At 40.2% G+C, this 19,561-nt stretch overlaps 1 protein-coding gene across 2 annotated transcripts in view; it reads left to right on the top strand.

Annotated features, from left to right (window-relative positions):
- Window positions 1–19,561, top strand: part of ITGA11 (integrin subunit alpha 11) — a 135,632-nt gene that overhangs the window by 20,279 nt on the left and 95,792 nt on the right. For both annotated transcript variants that reach the window (XM_011521363.3, NM_001004439.2), the window contains exon 2: window positions 8,856–8,967. In XM_011521363.3, the coding sequence (XP_011519665.1) occupies window positions 8,856–8,967 (112 nt within the window). The remainder of the gene's footprint in view (window positions 1–8,855; window positions 8,968–19,561) is intronic.

Below are 19,561 nucleotides of genomic sequence, written 5' to 3'. Positions count from 1 at the left end.
AGTGGACTAGCCGTCTCATGTTGCTGCCAGAAGTGCCAGCAAGCAGAAATAGACAAGGCATCCTAAGGCCCAAGCTGGGAATGGGCACACATTATTTCTGCTCAGATGGCCTAGCCCAAAGTCAAGGTTGGGGGAAATATACTCTCCTCTTTTAGAGGCAGGAATTACAAAGTCCCATGGTAAAGGGTGTGCATATAGAGAAGTGAAGAATTGAGACTGATGATGCAAGCTGGAGCAGGACCACTTGTTTTTGTATCCCAGCTCTGCCACCCACTAGATGTGTGACTTGGGACAAGTTACGGGATCGCTGTGCCTCCAGTTCCTCTCTTCTGCCATAGAGCGGCTTCCTCTGGCCATCGGCTCCCATCTGCTGCTTCATCCAGACTTTTAAGCCCTTGGGACTCTGGCTCTGTCCTTCTGGCATACCTGGTCTCCTGTGCTCTGCCTGTTGTGATCAGGGAGCCACCAATCAGTTCTGTAGTGAGCAGAGGGCATGGGCCCAGGATGGGTGAGTCTTGAAGAAGGAGTGTGTGGGAGGGGGATAAGCCTGGGTGAGGCCTCTCCAGGGTTGTCGTTGTTGATAATTTGTTGTGGTTGTCAGAGCTGAAATTTCTACTTTAACTCAACACATTTTTCTGAGCACCAGGCCTTATGGTGGGATAAAGGGATAAGTAGAATCCAGTTCTCCTCACATTGCTCAGTCTTAGATGGGGAGAAGATTGTGTGGAATCAGCTCTGCTCAGTGTACATGTCTAATCCTATTACTTAAATATTCACTCCACACCCTCCATGTGGCAATGCAGGCAGAGTTGCTGCTCATGGGATGCTCACAGTCCACTGTGAGTTCCCTGTTGGCCACGCAGCTGCCCATGGGGGCGGAACCGCACACTCCCCACCAGCCTGGGGGCTTCCCAGGGTGAGGGCAGAGTTACTAGGTCTCCTATGAGAGCAGCAGGTCCCCAAGGGCAGTATCCCTGCTTCTCCCCAGAGTCAGAGGGCTCCCCAAGCTCTTCTGTAATGAAGGCCTTCTTCCCTCAACTAGCTAGAAGCTTCTCTGATGTAGGGACCACGTCCCCTCACCCCTCCCTTGCTCTATCGCACTAGTGCCTACTACAGGAGCCTAGACTAGGGTCCTTGGGCCTCCAGCAATGCTCCCAAATCTAGCATTGCCTTCCTAGATGCCTCTTTGAAATGATGGCCTTGGGCAGAAGGGAAGGCTGGCTGGCAGCAGAGCAAGAACCCTCACATGTTCCCTGCTCGCCAGGGCAAAAGGGGCAGCAATGCAGAGGATACGAAACAGCCAGCCATCTGAAGCTCATTACTTCTTCACTTTTGAATGGGTTGTTTTTTTTCCCCCATAGCAGCAAGAGGTTCACTTTGCCATATCTTTTTGCCTAGGCCAGCTTATGGTCTTTTCTCCCTCCTCCTCTCCCTCTCTGTGATTTGCTTTTAGACGTGAAGATTCTTGGGGCCCAAGTAAAACTGGGAAGAGTGAGATAATACCAGAGATTCTTAGTGATAAACCCCACCTCCCTCACCCCATCCCAGCGCCCTCCCTCCAAGGAAAATGAAAGCTCTTGCTTACACAGGTGCATCTGCAACATGGAGCAGAGCCCAAAGAACCAGTGGAGGCCTGGGGCAGGGCTGCGGAGAGGCTTCTGGGAGGTGTTCACGCTTAGGTTCCACAGATCGGCTTCCTCTGGCCGTCAGCTCCAACCTGGTGCTTCATCCAGACTTTCAAGACCCTTGGGACTCTGGCCCCATCCTTCTGGTATACCAGGTCTGCTGTGTTCCACTTGTTGTGATCAAGGAGTCAACAGTCAGTTCTGTATTGAGCAGGATCTTAGAGCATGTGACTGGGATAGATGAGTCTGAAGAAGAAGAGGTGTAGGAGGGGACAAGCCTGGCTGAGGCCACTCCAGGGAGGATTCAAGTGACTGACGACGGTCGGTGGTGTCTGAAAGGGCAGAGGAAGACTTGATGGTGATGGGCTGGATGGCACGGGACCCGTGAGGCCTCAAAGTCATCCTGGCCGCTTCCTAGCTGTATGACCTTGGCCAGTTGCTGACTTTCTTTGTGCCTCAGTTTTCTCATCTTTAAAATGAGAATGATAATATACTTACTGCAAAACATGGTTATAAGCATTAAATACATTCAGAATAGTGCTTGGTACATAGTAAGAGCTTTGTTCATGTACACAATTATTTTTATTATTGTTATCTAAGTGGTAGGGGACTATCAGTACCTACCTAATCAGGTAGTACTGATAGGTAGAGTATCAGTACTACCTATCAGTACCTACCTAATCAGGTAGTACTGATAGGTAGAGTATCAGTACTACCTATCAGTACCTACCTAATCAGGTAGTACTGATAGGTAGAGTATCAGTACTACCTATCAGTACCTACTATCAGTACCTAAGTCAGGGAGCTAGGAGGTAAACTAAGGCAGGAGGAGCCAACAGGTACTGATTCTGAGAACAGATTCTCAGAAGGTGAGAAATCCGGTAGGCAAGTCTATCTGCAACTTTTGGGCACTGGGCAAAGATAAAAGCCATTCATGGATGTGGCCTTGAATAGCATATAACCTAAGAGCAAGGCAGAAGGGAAGGCAGCTGTTATGCAAGGCAGGGAGTGACAGAGCTATGAGCAGCCCACGCTGAAGGCCCCAGAGGAAGGACCACTTTGCAGCAGAGGTGTCATCAGAGGTGGGACTTGAAAGCGTAGGACGAAGGGAAGAAAGGCCTTCCAGGCATGGTGAACAGCATGGGCAAAAGCGCTGAGGCCAGCTCAAGGAACCAGGGCATCTTGATCCAGTTCAATTCAACCAAGATGTATTGAGTACCTTTCCTGCACCAGGCAGTGCCAGAGGTTTGCTACTCCCTTTAGTCTTGCCAACCACTTTTCCAGATAGATATTTTTATTCCTGTTTTATAGATGAGTAAACTGAAAACCAGAAAGGGAGAGTAACTCCCCAGGGTCACCCACTTATGAATGAGTGCTAGAGCCAGGCTTCTAACCAAGTCCTCCCAGAACTGAAAGCCCATCCTCTCTTCATGTCTGGCCTGACTCTCAAGGAGCCTGGCAGGATGGCAGGAGGAGCCAGGCAATTCCTGACACCTCCACCCAGGTAGGCTGTTCTCTTCTTTTCCCCGGCTCCACATTTGCACCAGGAAAGCCTGCCTAGCACCTTTGGGCCACTTCACCTATTCCTCCACATGGCCCTTCAAGGCCAGAATCACACCTCCAGAAGCTTCCTGAGCACCCAGCCCACAGGGTCCTTCTCTCTAACAACCATGGCATCTGCTTGCAGGGCACACTTGCACTCCACGTGCTTCCCGTGAGCCACTCTCCCAAGCTGATAGGACCCATCTCTCTTCTTGTCTTGCCCTCCACTCATCCCCTGTGCTAAGTGCTAGACCCAACAATGAGTAGCAAACAGACCCCATCCTGCCCTCATGGAGCCTGCGTCCTGATGCGGGAGACAGGAGTAATCAGACAGTCACATCCATGGAGTAGAATTACTAACTGTGAGAAGAAAAGGAGAGGTCACCAGTCACCCATTAGTAAGGCACAGGGGTGATGAGATCATTAAGCAAGATCTGATGTAATCAAGGTATCAGGGAAGCTTCCCAGGGGAGGCCAGGGGAGGATTTGCATTTATGCTGGGGTTTAAAGGTGATGGGAAGCTCATCAGAGAGGCTCAGGCAGAGGAAATGGCACATGCAGAGGCCCTGAGGCAGAGGAAGCAACGTGCATCTGGAGGAGCAGAAAAGGGACCTAGAGGAAAACTCACACAAGACAAGGCTAGGCAGAGGCTGAGGGGCCATGGGGCCACATGGAACATTTTGGACTTTCTCCCAAGATCCCTGGGAAGCTATATGGGAGGAGGAGGAGAGGCAGGGAAATGGAACAGCACAGCAGACGCTCCTTAAGCTGGAGCGAACTCTCCCCGCTGAGCTGTTGAATGGCCTTAGCCATACACTGGCCAGCAGCCCTCAGCACCTGGGACCAGGACTGCCCTACCTGGCCTTCACCTTAACCTGTAGGGAGTGGAGTGGCTTTGAGAACTGTGAGCCCCAAGTGATGCTCTGGCTTGATGCTGTGGTTTCCGTCCCTTCTTGAGACTGACTGATGCTTTTTTTGAAAGACACACAAGATTCTGAGAAAGGGAGCAACAGTTGACGTAACTTTGGCCACGGCCCACAGGAGAGCAGCCCAGGAATTGTGGTTTTTTTCCCCCTCTGTCATCAATATCAAGGGCAGAACAGTGGCAAGCTGCCCAACCAGGCTCCCAACATCTCTGCAATCAGCCTGTTCATTCCCATCAAAACAACTTTATTTTATCATGTTGGTATTTGGAAGTCATCAATCTCTGAGAAAAGTACTTCTCCCAAACATGAAACCCATCTACCATAAAAGGAGGCGGCCAGAGATCTTGTCAGGAGCCGAGGTCAGAGAGATGGACTTGACTGACATCATTTTTAGGAAATCCACTCTCTGGTTGGTTCGGTTTGGTCAGAAGCAAACGCCAACTGGTCTCTGGAGACGAAACCAGCACTTTGTAATTTAATGCCTCTTCCTTGTGGCCAGATTTCACTAATCCTGTCCCCAGTGAGGTTGGGGCTCTGTCTAGGACTAGTCCCACCTTCCCCTGGGCCCCCACCACCCCCTCACTGGGCACCTCACTTTGGCTGCAGGATGGAATGCAGGCAGCTGGCTTTCCCTCCCATTGCGTCTCCCTGCTGGAACCCAAAGGCAGAGGCAATGGGACCTAGGGCAGGAAGCGGAGACCCTCTTCTCTAAAAGGAATCTTCCCTTCTCCCCAGTGAGTCCTTCTTATGAAAAACTGATCTAGGGAGGGAAGAGAACACATCACCCCGGCACCCCAAGCTATGTGGTCATGTGTCCAGCTAATGTGTCCCCAGCTGAGTGATTTGGGGAAACTATTTAATCTCCCAGAGGTGTGATTGTATCTGTCTCATGGGGTTGGTGTGAGATTTAATTGATTAATGTAAAACTCACGGTTAGATGCCTAGGATCGTGCCTGGAATATATCAGCGCTCATCATTATTTCCTTTCTCCTTTTCCTCACTGAGGGGAGAGACTGTCCCAGACAAATGAAGATCCTGGTCTCTAACTGTTCAGTCAACCAGTATCTACGAGCTGGACCTCCATTCAAGGCACTGAGGATAGAGCAGTGAGGACACAGCAGAGTCCCGTGGCACTTAGAGACTATAGGAATATTCTAAATATCAGCCATGTGACAATAAACAAATGTCATATGTTTGTGATAAACGCTATGAGGAAAAATGGAGCACAGGAAGGGATCCCTGGGGTGTTTGGTGGCCTGGTGATGGACAAGATGGCATTGAAACAGAGATTCTAAGACTGGAGGGAGAGAGCCTTGCAGGTATGGGAAGAAGAGCATTCCAGGAAGAGGGAACAGCCACGGCAAAGATGCTGAGCAGAGAACGAGTCTGAAGTTGGAAGGACAGCGAGAGGGTCAGTATGGCTGGAGGAGAGGAGGAGGAGAGGGTAGAAATTAATGGGGCAGAGTGAATGCGGTGAGATTATGGAGGGCCTTGCAATGAGGAGTTTGGCCTTGGCTTTGATGGGGTGGAAAACTCATTGATACAGGGGATGGAGCTGAGGGGTGACGGGATCTCACAGGTCTTGGAAGGGTCCCTCTGGCCATGGTTGCACAACAAGCACTGATAGAGGGCTTGGGGTGGACAAGGCCCCAAAGACACAATCTGTGGCTTCACCTTCACTGGCCCTCACCCCTCTGCAGGCCTGGAAGTGGCAGGTGGTCTGGATTTCCTGACAGCTAGAACATACTTTCCTTTTCCTGCTGGGTCAGATGCAGGAAGGGGAAGTCCTAGTCTCTAGTGGGCACCAGGAAGCCAGGCAAAGTGCCGTCCACAATCAGGGTGTATGTGGCCTGTGCATGTGTGTGTCTGTGTGTGTGTGCACGTGCGTGCATACATGTATATCTGTGTGCGTGTGCATGTGTGCATACGTGTGTGTTCATTCCTGGGACAGATTTGGAGAGAGGGTAAGTTTCTCTCTGCCACTGCAACACTCCTTCAGTAACCCCCCTATGCCCACCAAGCTCCGAGCTCTGCACAGGTGACACTGGTGTCTCTCTCTCTCTCCTCTGTGACATTGCACATGTGACACTGCTGTCTCTCTCTCTCTCCTCTGTGACATGCCTTCACTGGCCAGGGACCTGTGTTCTTCAGGACCCTGTGCTCACCGGAACAGAGTCCTCTTCTCCAAGGCTGCCCGCTGCTAGCCAGGCTGATAAGTTCATTTATGGCATGGGATTTGTAAACAAAGCACTAACGGGTTCATATACTCTTCTTCCCCAACCCCCACTCCAGGGCCATGACACTAAATTCATGTGGGAGATTAGGAATCGTGACGATAGAGTGGGCAGCTACATAGTCACGTGCTGCCACTGTCCTCCCCTGTACCCATAGCAGGTAGTGCTATCAGTCACACTCCTCTTGCCTACTGAGCCCAGACTTGACCTCAAAATCTTTCCTAACTCAGTGCTCCAGAAGTGCTAATGATCCATTGGCATGTTCAATAAGATAACACGTATCTAATATCCCTACTTGAAGGTCCCTCAGTTTTACTCTGGGGACTTTAATTCTATGACTCTAATGATGGAAATTTTGGCTACTGTTATGTGTTTGCTGAGCAAAAAAAAAAAAAAAAGGGAGACAGTGGGAAAAATAACTTGTTTCTGTATGATAGGCCTTATTAAAGTAGGTGCCCCAGGGCTTCACAGTTGAATACTGAGCAGGGGGTCAGTGCCCAGGGGAAGGAGAGTGGCGCACTCGTGTGCGGGTCCAAGCCTCAAATTCAGAGGCCCTACCCAGCGGGCTTGGGTCCTTGGGAAGGTCAGCTAACCTCTCTGACCCTCTGTTTTCCCTTTGCTGCTTGTCATGGAGATCGAATGATAACATACATGTGAATGGTCTTTGAAACTAAATAAGTATCCCACATGTGAAAGGGGCAACAATGATAAAAGGTCTATTCTGCCAATTCATTTTTACTTATCCAAAAGTTTTGGCTCGTGGCAAGATCCCACCCCTCAAATTTAATGCGTCCCAAGTGTGGATGGGTATCAAGGCCAGATGTATCCTGAAAATGCCTTCTGGTGGGGAGGCGTCACAGAGTAGGTGTCTGAGGTCCTAGTTCTGATGCTACCACTGACCTGCTGTGCAGCCCTGGACAATCCTCTTAACCTCTCTGGTACTGCACCAAGTGCATCTGCCAAGTGAGGACGATGCTCACTCATTCTCCAAGGTCCTGTGACAGCAAATGATGGCAGATGTGAGGAGGCCCAGAAACCAAAAGTACTATACAGATGTGAGGTGCTATTTTGTTGTTTCTTGTGATTTGCCCAAAGGGGTAAAGCATTTGGCTTAACACAGGCTTCCTGCCAGGAAGAATTAGTTAACTGACAGGTGACTTAAACAAACAGGGGCGACCCTTGGGGCCAGGGCGAAAGGGTCATAGGGCTTTTTCTGTGCTCGCTTCAGCTGCCCCGGCCAAGCAGAAGCCCCTGCCGAAGCCAGACGGAGCTTTGTCAACTGGTTCAGAGGGAAGTGGGGAGCCCAGTGCCGGCGCCCATGGCCACTGGGACCTCAGGCTTGCAGAGGAAGGTGGATGTCAGTTGCCTGACTCTTCAGCAGATAGGGGAGGCGGTAATGAAGGGAGGAGGAGGGAAGAGAAGGGAGAGCAGGAGAGAGGAGGAAAATGAGAGGGAAAAAAAAGAGGAGACCAACAAAAGCTGGAAGCAGCAGATGGGAGGAAGGAGTGATGGAGAAGGAGGGCAACTGTCTCTCCCTGGTAGAATCGGGAGTTCCCTGGGGGAAGGACAGGTCTTCCATTCAGACTGGGTCTCTTTGAGAGCAGGTTTTATGTCCCCCCTATCCATGTACAGGGTCTGTATTAGGCCTTTCTTTGTGGGGCTAATACAGGAATACCTGAGACTGAGTAATTTATAAAGAAAACAGGAACCCGGCCAACATGGTGAAACCCTGTCTCTACTAAAAAATAAATAAAAATCGACCAGGCACAGTGGTATGTCCCTGCAGTCTCAGCTCCTTGGGAGGCTGAGGCACAAGAATCTCTTGAACCTGAAAGGAGGAAGTTGCAGTGAGCCAAGACCGAGCCACTGTGCTCCAGCCTGGGCCACAGAGTGAGACTCTGTGTCAGGGAAACAGAAAAAAAAAAGAAAGAAAGAAAGAAAGAAAAGAGGTTTATTTTGGCTCACAGTTCTGCAGACTGTACAGAAATCATGGTGCCAGCATCTGCTTCTAATGAGGGCCTCAGGGAGCTTCCAATCATGGTGGAAGGTGAAGGCGAGCCAGCGTGTCACATGCAAGAGTGGGAGCAAGAAAGAGAGGGGGGAGGCCCCACACTCTTAAACACCCAGGCCTGTGAGAACTTAGAGTGAGAACTCACTCATCACCAAGGGGATGGCACCAAGCAATTCATGAGGGATCCGCCCCCATGACCCAAACATCTCCCACCATGCCCTACCTCCAACATTGGGAATCCTGTTTCAACGTCAGATTTGGAAGGGATACACATTGAAACCATATCAGGCTCCCCCAGGACGGGGGTGGAATCTCTCCCATCAGACTGTGGGCCCTACCAGGCAAGGACTACATCAGCCACCTCATACAGGGACTCCCCAAGATGGGGAAACATGCTTGTCCCACAGCCAAGACCCTCCAAGGTTCATGACCTGCCAATGGGTCCTGACACAGCCCAGGGCCTACACCTCTGCCTGTCTGACTCCCCTGCTTCTCCTCTCCTCTCCCCCTGCCTCAGGGTTCACGGACACCTTCAACATGGACACCAGGAAGCCCCGGGTCATCCCTGGCTCCAGGACCGCCTTCTTTGGCTACACAGTGCAGCAGCACGACATCAGTGGCAATAAGTGGTGAGTGAGAGCGGCCGCCCACACCCAGCCCTGTACCATTCCACACCCAGCCCCCTCCATCCTGCCCCTGTGCCCTGTGGCTGCCCCACTGGCCCTCACATGGAGACTGACGTTTCCAGTGACTTGACTCTGTCCCAGCAGGTCAGAGACTGCACAGGCTCTGCTCCTGACTATGAAAGCTTGAATGTTCAATTTCTCAAGCCCTGTATCTTCTCATCTGTGAAATGGGAATGAACGAGCCCTCCTTCTCTGGGTTATGTGACAGTGGGGGTAGCAGGCACCTGGGGACCAATTGTTAGCCCCTGGTCATGTCTACCTGGAGAGCTGCTGGGGGTGTCTCTGAGAGGGTGGGTGTGAGTGTGCTCTCTAGCTGAAACCCAGGCAGCGATGGGGCAAAGGGGAGGGAGAGCCAGACCAAGTGGAGGGAGAGGGCTGGAAAGATCCCCAAGAGCCCTCCAGAGCAGGGGCAATCAGGAGGAAGAAAGGATTCACCTCCAATTTTAAAAATAACTTTATTTCAACATATTTTATCATCTAACTCACTCATTTCAAGTATCCAAGTCAATGATTTTTTTTTAAATGTACCATGTTGTGAGGCCATCACCACAAATCAGTTTTAGAATATTTTTATCACCCCAGTAAGATCTCTCGCCACATTTACGGTTAGTCATCCTCCTCCCCACTTGGTTTTTAGCTGGCAGAAGGCTATCCTTCCTGGGATGGAAAGGGCCAGGACTCTGCATGGCCCTTTTAGAAGCCCTTGCATAGTCAAGAGACCACATGAACACTCGTGATCAATGTTCTACGCTGCCCTCTTCCCACTCTGGCCCCTGTCTACCCTCCCCAACCTCTCCCCCTTCTTGTGCTCCCCGCACCCCCTTACTTGTGTTCAATGCTCCAGCCACATGGCACAATCGCAGCATTGCTGTTTCCCCAGATCTTCTTCAAACATGCTCTTCCCTTCTGTGACACCCTCTCCTGACTTCTCTGCTCACCCCACCACCATCTGGCTAATTCTCTCGTATTCTTTTTGATTTTTGTAAAGAAATATCTTACTTATTATCTTTCTACCGAGGTATAACATACATACAACAAAGTATAGGCATTTTGAATGTGCAACTTAACGAACTTCCATGATATACACCTATGTAATCACCTCCCAGAGATATATCCACCATTTCCAGCTTCCCAGAAGGTGGTGCCCACTCACCCCCGCCCCAGCCAGTGCCCCTCCAGGGACCCACTATGCTGACTCCTATCTCCATAGGTTAGTTTTGAACTTCATAGAGGAGAAATCATGCAATAGGTGCTCATTTGTATCTGACCTCTCACTCAACATTACGCCTGTGAGGTTTAACCTGTTGTTAAGTGAACCATACTTCATGCTTCCATTGATGAGCAGTATTCCATTGTATTAATCTACAACAATGTATTTCAGTTTAGTGTTTATTTTACTGTATTTGGATTGTTTCCATTTTGGGCTATTTCAAATAACGCTGCTATTGGCATTCATGTACGTGTCTTTTGATGGGCATATGTATTCACTTGTATTGGGTTTTTACTCCGGGATAGAATTGCTGAGTTAAAGGGTAGTTATGTTTAACTTTTTAGTAGGACCTGCCAGGCATTTGTTTCAAAGTGGTTTACCAATTTAAACTCTCTCTAGTAAAACAAGAGCCTTCTGGTTGTGACATGTCTTCACTAATTCATGACATTATCAGTCATTTTAATTTTAGTCATTCTAGTTGTGTGTGGTGGTATCTCATGGTGGGTTTAATTTGCATTTCTCTATTTACTAATGATGTTGACCAACTTTTCATAAATTTAATGGCCATTTTTGTATCCCCTTTTGTGAAATGCTGTATCAGGTCTTTTGCCCATTGTAAAGATTGTGTTGTGTGTCTTTTTCTTACTGATTAAAGGCCTTTTATATATATAAAATATATAAATAAATATATATAATATTATAATATTTATTATATAATATATAATATTATAATATTTATTATATAATATATAATATTATAATATTTATTATATAATATATAATATTATATTTATTATATAATATATAATATAATATTTATTATATAATATATAATATTATAATATTTATTATATAATATATAATATAATATTTATTATATAATATATAATATTATAATATTTATTATATAATATATAATATTTATTATATAATATATAATATTTATTATATAATATATAATATAATATTTATTATATAATATATAATATATTTATTATATAATATATAATATTATAATATTTATTATATAATATATATTATATATTATAATATATAATATATAAAATATATATATTCTGTATATATTATATATATTATATATATATATTCTGTATACACTTCCTTTGTGACATAGAAGCATTGCAAATATCTGTTCCCAGTCTATGGCTTGCCTTTTCATTCTCTAAATGGTATCTTTTGATAAACAGAAGTCCTTAACTTTAATAAAGTCTAATTTATCAATATTTTTTATGGTTAGTGCTTTTTGTGTGTCCCATTTAAGAAATCTTCACCTCTCCCCATATCATGAAGATATTCTTCTCTGTTTTCTTCTAGAAGTTTGATGTTTTTGCTTTGTCATTTAGGTCAATGATTCATCCCAAGTTAATGTTTGTGTAAGGTGTGAGATAAAGGTCAGAGGTTTTTGTTTTCTTTTTCTCATATGGATGGCCAGTTGATCTGGCACAATTTGTTAAAGACTATTTTCCCCATTGAATTCTAGTGACATCTTTGTTGAAAATCGGGTGACCATAGATATATGGGCCTATTTCTTGACTCTATTTTATTCCATTTGTCTATTTATCTAAACTTGAGCAAACAAAAAGCTGCTTTGGTTACTGCAGCTTTAAAATAAGTCTCGAAGTCAGGTAGTGTGAATTCTCTATATTTGGTTTTCTCTTCTTTTTTATTTCAACTTTTATTTTAGATTCAGGGAGTACATGTGCAGATTTGTTACATGGGTATATTGCATTGTGTGGAGGTTTGGGGTACAAGTGATCCCGTCACCCAGGTAGTGAGCTACCCAATAGGTAGTTTTTCAACTCTTGTTCTCTCCTTCCCTCCCTCCCCACTCTAGTGGTCCTCAATGTCTATAGTTCCCATCTTTATGTCCATGTGTACCCAGTGTTTCGCTCCCACTTATAATAGTGAGAACACACCATATTAGGTTTTATGTTTCTGTGTTAATTTGCTTAGAATAATGGCATCCATGTTGCTGCAAAGGACATGATTTCTTTCTTTTTCATGGTTGTGTAGTATTCCGTGGTGTATATGAACCACAGTTTCTTTATCCAATCCACCATTAATGGGCACCTAGGTTGATTCCATGTCTTTGCTATTGTGAATAGTGCTGTGATAAAACATACAAGTGCATGTGTTTGTGGTAAATGATTTATCTTCCTTTGGGTAATATACCCAGTAATTGGGATTGCTGGGTCAAATAGTAATTCTATTTTTAGTTCTCTGAGAAATCTCCAAACTCTGAACTAATTACCATTCCCACCAACAGTGTATAAGCATTTCCTTTTCTCTACAGCCTTGCCAACAACTGTTACTCTGGAGCATTTTAATAATAGCCATTCTGACTGGTGTGAGATGATAGCTCACTGTGGCTTTCATTTGCATTTCTCTGATGGTTAGTGATGTGGAGTATTTTTCCATGTTTCTTGGCGGCTTGTATGTCTTCTTTTAAGAAGTGTCTGTTCATGTCCTTTGCCCTCTTTTTAATGGGGTTGTTTTTCTTTGGCAAGATTGTTTTAGCTATGATAGATCCTTTATGTTTCCATATAAATTTTTAAGTCAGCTTGTCAATTTTCCTCCAACAAAATTTGCTGAGATTTTTATTGGAGTTATACTGAATTTATACGTTCAATTTTATGGATAAATTTAGGGGAAAATGAAATCTTAATAACATTTTTTCTAATCCACTAACATGTATATCCTACCATTTATTCAGTTTTTAAAAATTTCTCTCAATAATGCTTTGAAATATTCAGTGTAAGTTTTACATCTCTTATTGCATTAATAAAATATAAAATATTTATATTTTATACTATTAAAAATAAACTATTCTTATTTCATTTTATACTATTCATTTCATTTTATACTATGAATATAGTTATATTTACAGTTAATATAAATTATATCATAATAAATATATATTTAATGTAAATATATTTTCATATTTGCATTTATGCTATTAGAAATAAAATATTTTTATTTCATTTTATACTATTCATTTTATACCATAAAAATATTTATACTTATATTTATATTATATTTAATATAAATCATATTATAATAAATATGTTAAAGTCTCCCATTATTAATGTGTGGGAGTCTAAGTCTCTTTGTAGGTCACTCAGGACTTCCTTTATGAATCTGGGTGCTCCTGTATTGGGTGCATATATATTTAGGATAGTTAGCTCTTATTGTTGAATTGATCCCTTTACCATCATGTAATGGCCTTCTTTGTCTCTTTTGATCTTTGTTGGTTTAAAGTCTGTTTTATCAGAGACTAGGATTGCAACCCCTGCCTTTTTCTGTTTTCCATTTGCTTGGTAGATCTTCCTCCATCCTTTTATTTTGAGCCTATGTGTGTCTCTGCACGTGAGATGGGTTTCCTGAATACAGCACACTGATGGGTCTTGACTCTATCCAATTTGCCAGTCTGTGTCTTTTAATTGGAGCATTTAGTCCATTTACATTTAAAGTTAATATTGTTATGTGTGAATTTGATCCTGTCATTATGATGTTAGCTGGTTCTTTTGCTGGTTAGTTGATGCAGTTTCTTCCTAGTCTTGATGGTCTTTACATTTTGGCATGATTTTGCAGCGGCTGGTACCGGTTGTTCCTTTCCATGTTTAGTGCTTCCTTCAGGAGCTCTTTTAGGGCAGGCCTGGTGGTGACAAAATCTCTCAGCATTTGCTTGTCTGTAAAGTATTTTATTTCTCCTTCGCTTATGAAGCTTAGTTTGGCTGGATATGAAATTCTGGGTTGAAGATTCTTTTCTTTAAGAATGTTATAATAAATAGAATAATATTTATATAATAATATATAATATTATTATTAATAATTTTATATTATTTTAAATATATTTTAAATATAATATTTTAAATATAATATTTTAAATATAATATTTTAAATATAATATTTTAAATATAATATTTTAAATATAATATTTTAAATATAATATTTTAAATATTTTATAATATATATTTTAAAATATTTTAAATATATATTAAATATAATATTTTAAATATAATATTTTAAATATTTTATAATATTTTAAATATAATATTTTAAATATTTTATAATATTTTAAATATAATATTTTAAATATTTTATAATATTTTAAATATATTTTAAAATATTTTATTTTAAAATATTTTATAATATTTTTAAAATATTAATAATTTTATATTTTATTAATTTATTATTATATTAATATTTATATATAATAAATAATATATAATATATTATATAATAAATAATATATAATATATTATATAATAAATAATATATAATATATTATATAATAAATAATATATAATATATTATATAATAAATAATATAATATTATTTTAAAATTTTTAATTTAATATTTTTATAATATTTTATAAAATATAATATAATACATAATATATAATATATAATATATTATATAATATATAATATATAATATATTATATAATATATAAAATTTAAAATATTAAATAATAATTAATATATAATAATTTATTATATAATAAATAATTTATATATTATATAATAATAATATATTATATATTATATATTATATAATAAATAATTTATATATTATATATTATATAATAAATAATTTATATATTATATAATAAGTAATATATATTATATATTATATAATAAATAATATATAATATATTATTTATTATATAATAAATAATATATAATATATTATATATTATATAATAAATAATATATAATAAATCATATTGTAATAAATATGTTATATTTAATATAAATATATTTGTGTTTATATTTTATACTATTACATATTATATATTTATATTTTATACTATTACAAATGAAATACTTATTTCATTTTTCAATCTTTTTTACTAGTACATAAAAATACAATTGATTTTTGTATATTTACAATACATCCAGCAACTTTACTAAAGTCATTTATTATTTCTAATAACTCCCTTTTGGATTCCTTTGGATTTTCTACATATACAATCAGATCATTTGAAATAATTACAGTTTTGTTTATTATTTTCCAATTTTCCTACCTTTATTTATTTTTCTAATTGCACTGGCTAAGATCTTCAGTGCAAGGTCAAAAAGAAGTGGTGATACTGAACATTCTTTTCTTATTTCTGCTATGATAGTGAAATTTTCCAATATTTCATAATTAAATAAGATGTTAACTCTAGTTTATTCATTTATTTATTGTAGATAACTCCAGATTAAAGAAGTTTTTTTCTATTCATAGCTTTCTAAGGTTGGTTTTTTTAAAAATTATGAACAGGTGCTGAATTTTATCAGATGATTTTTCTGCAACACCTGACATAAGGTTCTCCTTCATTCTGTTAATATGGTTAATTACATTGATTGATTGATTGATTGATTGATTGATTGGATTGATATTTTCTTTAACTATTAAACCAACTTGCATTCCTGGGATAAACCTCATTTGGTCACCACGTATTCTCCCATGTATATATTCTCAGGAATTTTGTTTCTGTTGGGGTATTTGTATCTGTTTTGTTTCATGAGATATATTGACCTGTAAATTTTCTTTTTGGAAATACCCTTATCAAGTTTTTGTATCACAGTTATTCAGAGCTCATAAAATGTGCTAAGAAATGTTTTCATTTTTTTCTATTCTCTGGTAGAACATAAGATCTGTATTATTGCTTCTTTAAATGTTTAGGATAATCCACTAGTACAGCATCTAGGGTTGTTTCGTGGGAAGATTTCTCATTATAGATTCAACTTCTTTTTTATTGTTATTATTATTATACTTTAAGTTCTAGGGTACATGTGCACAACGTGCAGTTTTGATATATAGGTATACATGTGCCATGTTGGTTTGCTGCACCCATTGACTCGTCATTTACATTAGGTATTTCTCCTGTTATCCCTCCCCCAGCCCCCCACCCCCCAACAGGCCCCAGTGTGTGATATTCCCCGCCCTATGTCCAAGTGATCTCATTGTCTTTTCACATAGTCCCATATTTCTTGGAGGCTTTGTTTGTCTTTACTCTTTCTTCTCTAACCTTGTCTTCTCACTTTATTTCATGAATTTAATCTTCAATCACTGATACACTTGATCGAATCAGCTACTGAAGCTGCACATGCATCACTAAGTTCTTGTGCCATGGTTTTCAGCTCCATCAGGTCATTTAAAGTCTTCTCTACACTGTTTATTCTAGTTAGCCTCTCATCTAACCTTTTTTCAAGGCTTTTAGCTTCCTTATGATGGGTTTGAACATGCTCCTTTAGCTCGGAGAAGTTTGTTATTGCCAACCTTCTGAAGCCTACTTCTGTCAACTCGTCAAAGTCATTCTCCATCCAGCTTTGTTCCATTGCTGGTGAGGATCTGCGATCCTTTGGAGGACAAAAGTGCTCTGACTTTTAGAGTTTTCAGCTTTTCTGCTCTGGTTTCTCCCCATCTTTGAGGTTTTATCTACCTTTGGTCTTTGATGTTGGTGACCTACAGATGGGGTTTTGGTGTAGATGTCCTTTTTGTTGATGTGGATGCTATTCCTTTCTGTTTGTTAGTTTTCCTTCTAATAGTTGGGTCCCTCAGCTGCAGGTCTGTTGGAGTTTGCAGGAGGTCCACTCCAGACCCTGTTTGCCTGGATATCACCAGTGGAGGCTCAGTTGGATATGCAGAAATCACCCGTCTTCTGCATCGATCATGCTGGGAGCTGCAGACTGGAGCTGTTCCTATTCGGCCATCTTGGAATGGATCTCAACTTCTTAAAGATAATGGATTATTCAGATTTGCTACTCCTTCTTGTGTTAATTTTAGTAACTTGGGTTTTTCAAGTAATTTGTACATTTCATTCAAATTTTATCCACAAATATTCATATTAGCCTCCTATTATCTTTTCAATGTCTATAAGATCTATATATCCTCTTTTTCATTTCTCTTTTTGGTAATTTGTGTTGTCCCTCTTATTTTTTATCAGTCTTGCTATGGGCATATTAATTTTATTAATGTGTTCTAGGATCAACTATGGGCTTTACTGATTTTCTCTATTGAATCCCTGATTTCTCATTCATTGGTTTCTATTCTCATTTTAATTATTTCTTCCATTTTTTTATTTAATTTATCTTTTTCTAGCTTCTTACTTAAATTGTTGATTTTCTGACCCTTTTTCTTTTCTAAAATATACATATAAGGCTATATATTTCCTCTAACATTGCTTTAGCTGCATCCTACAAATTTTGATGTTTTCATTATCATTCAGGTTAAAATAATTTCTAATTCTCATCATGATTTCTTCCTTGGACCGTGGGTTATTTAGAAATGTGTTTTTTAATTTCCAAATATTTGGAGATTTTCTAGTTGTCTTTCTATTATATTTCTAATTCAATTCCATGGTGGTCAAGAGAGCTGCTGTATAATTTAAAATCTTAGTTGTTTGTTGGCAATATTTTAAATTACTGATTCAATCTCACTGCTTGTTATTGGTCTGTTCAAAATTACTGTTTCTTACTGATTCAAGCTAGGATGGTTGTATGCTTCCAAGAATTTATGTGTTTCCTCTAGATTTTCTAGTTTGTTTGCATAGATGTTCATAGTAGTCTTGAATGGTCTCTTATACCACTGTGGTGTCAGTCGTAATATCTCCATTTTCATTTCTAACACAGCTTTACAATCTATTTGCAATTAGTATTTTACCACTTTCTAAGTAACACAATAACTTTACGACAGTTTGATTCCAGTCCCCTGTCCTGTCCTTTGTGTTATTTTTGTCATATATTTTACCTTTGCACATGTTATAAATTCCACAAGACATTATTGTTATTGTTGCTTTAAGTTGTTAATATTTATGTCTACTTATCCACATAGCTACCCTTTCTGGTGTTCTTCGTCTCTTTTATATAATTCTGTGCTCTCATTTGAGATAATTTTCTTTCAGCCAAAGAACTCTACTTAGTATTTCTTGTGGTATAAGTCTGCTAACAAGAGTTCTTTCAGCCTTGGGAGTTGGGTTTTCTGTTTGTTTTTGTTCGTTTGTCTGAAAAGATCTTAATCTCACCTTAATTTTTGAAGTATTTCTTATCTAGTTTTTCTTTTAGCACTTTAAAATGTCATTCCATTGTCTATTGGCTTTACAGTTTCTGTTGAGATGTCAACCATCAGTTTTATCATTCTTTTGAATGTAATATGTCATTTTCTTGTGGTTGCTTTCTTATTTGCCTTTAATGTCAGCAGTTTGACTATGATGTATCTAAATGTAGTTTTGTTGTATTTGTTCTGCATAGGGTTTCCAAAGCTTCTTGAATCTGCATTGATACTTTTAATTAGATTTGGAAAATTCTCTACCTTCATTTTTAAAAATATAGCTTTTGTCCCATTTCTTCTCTCCTTTTCTTTCTAAACTTGAATTGTGTGTATGTTAGGCCTTCTCGCCATATTTCTCATATTTCTGTTCAGTTTTTTATTCCATTTTTCTCTTGCTGTGCTACAATTTAGATATCCTCTATTCATCTGTCTTCAGGGTCACTAATCCAGCTTTCTGCTGTATCCATTGTGCAGCTAAACCCATTCGATATACTCTTTATTACAGATATTTTATTTTGCTCCTGAATGTCCACTGGATTCTTTTTTTATAGATTCTAATTCTGTCACAATAATCTGTCTTGATCCCAATTGTCCATCTTTTGTTCTATTTTCTTTAACACATTAATTATAATTATTTTGAAGTCCTGGCTGGTTAACTCCAATATCTGGATCATCTCTGGTCTGCTTCTGGTGACTATTTTATCTCATGGTTATCCATTTTTTCCTGATTATTTACTCATTTTGTAAATATTGTGAATATTGTGGATGTTACAGTTTTGCCCTTATTCCTAGGATGTGGTCTTTACTCTTAGAGCATAGATTTTCTGGGGTCTCAAATGAAATCCCAGAGTATTCATTAAGGTCTCTCCTTTCTGACTGGGTATGAACCCCAACACCTTCCTCCCAGAATAGGAGGCAACCTCTAAAATCTCTGCTCCCATTGGCTGTTTTCTGATAGATTTTCCAGTGTATCATACTATGCATACACAGCTTAGGAGTCAGCCAAGAACCTGAGGGAAACTTTCAACAGAGCTTTTGAGACTCTTTTCCTGTTGTTCTCTCCTTTCTGGTATGCTGCCCTTCCCAAATCCTAGTCATCTTTGCAGCCCCAACTCCAATCCCTATTTCCTCCATCCAGCAAGACTTCTACTCTCTGCATCCATTTCCCTGTGCTTCAGCAAAGAAAATGCCCTCAGAGGAAAAGCTGGGGTGAACAGGGTTTCAGCTTCTGTATTTCCCTTCTTACAAGTATTGAGCTCTGCCTT

This window comes from Homo sapiens, chromosome 15, assembly GCF_000001405.40.
Source record: "Homo sapiens chromosome 15, GRCh38.p14 Primary Assembly".
NCBI classification, from domain to species: domain Eukaryota; kingdom Metazoa; phylum Chordata; class Mammalia; order Primates; family Hominidae; genus Homo; species Homo sapiens.
Note: the sequence above shows the minus strand (reverse complement) of the source record. Positions and strands in the feature narration are given on the sequence as shown.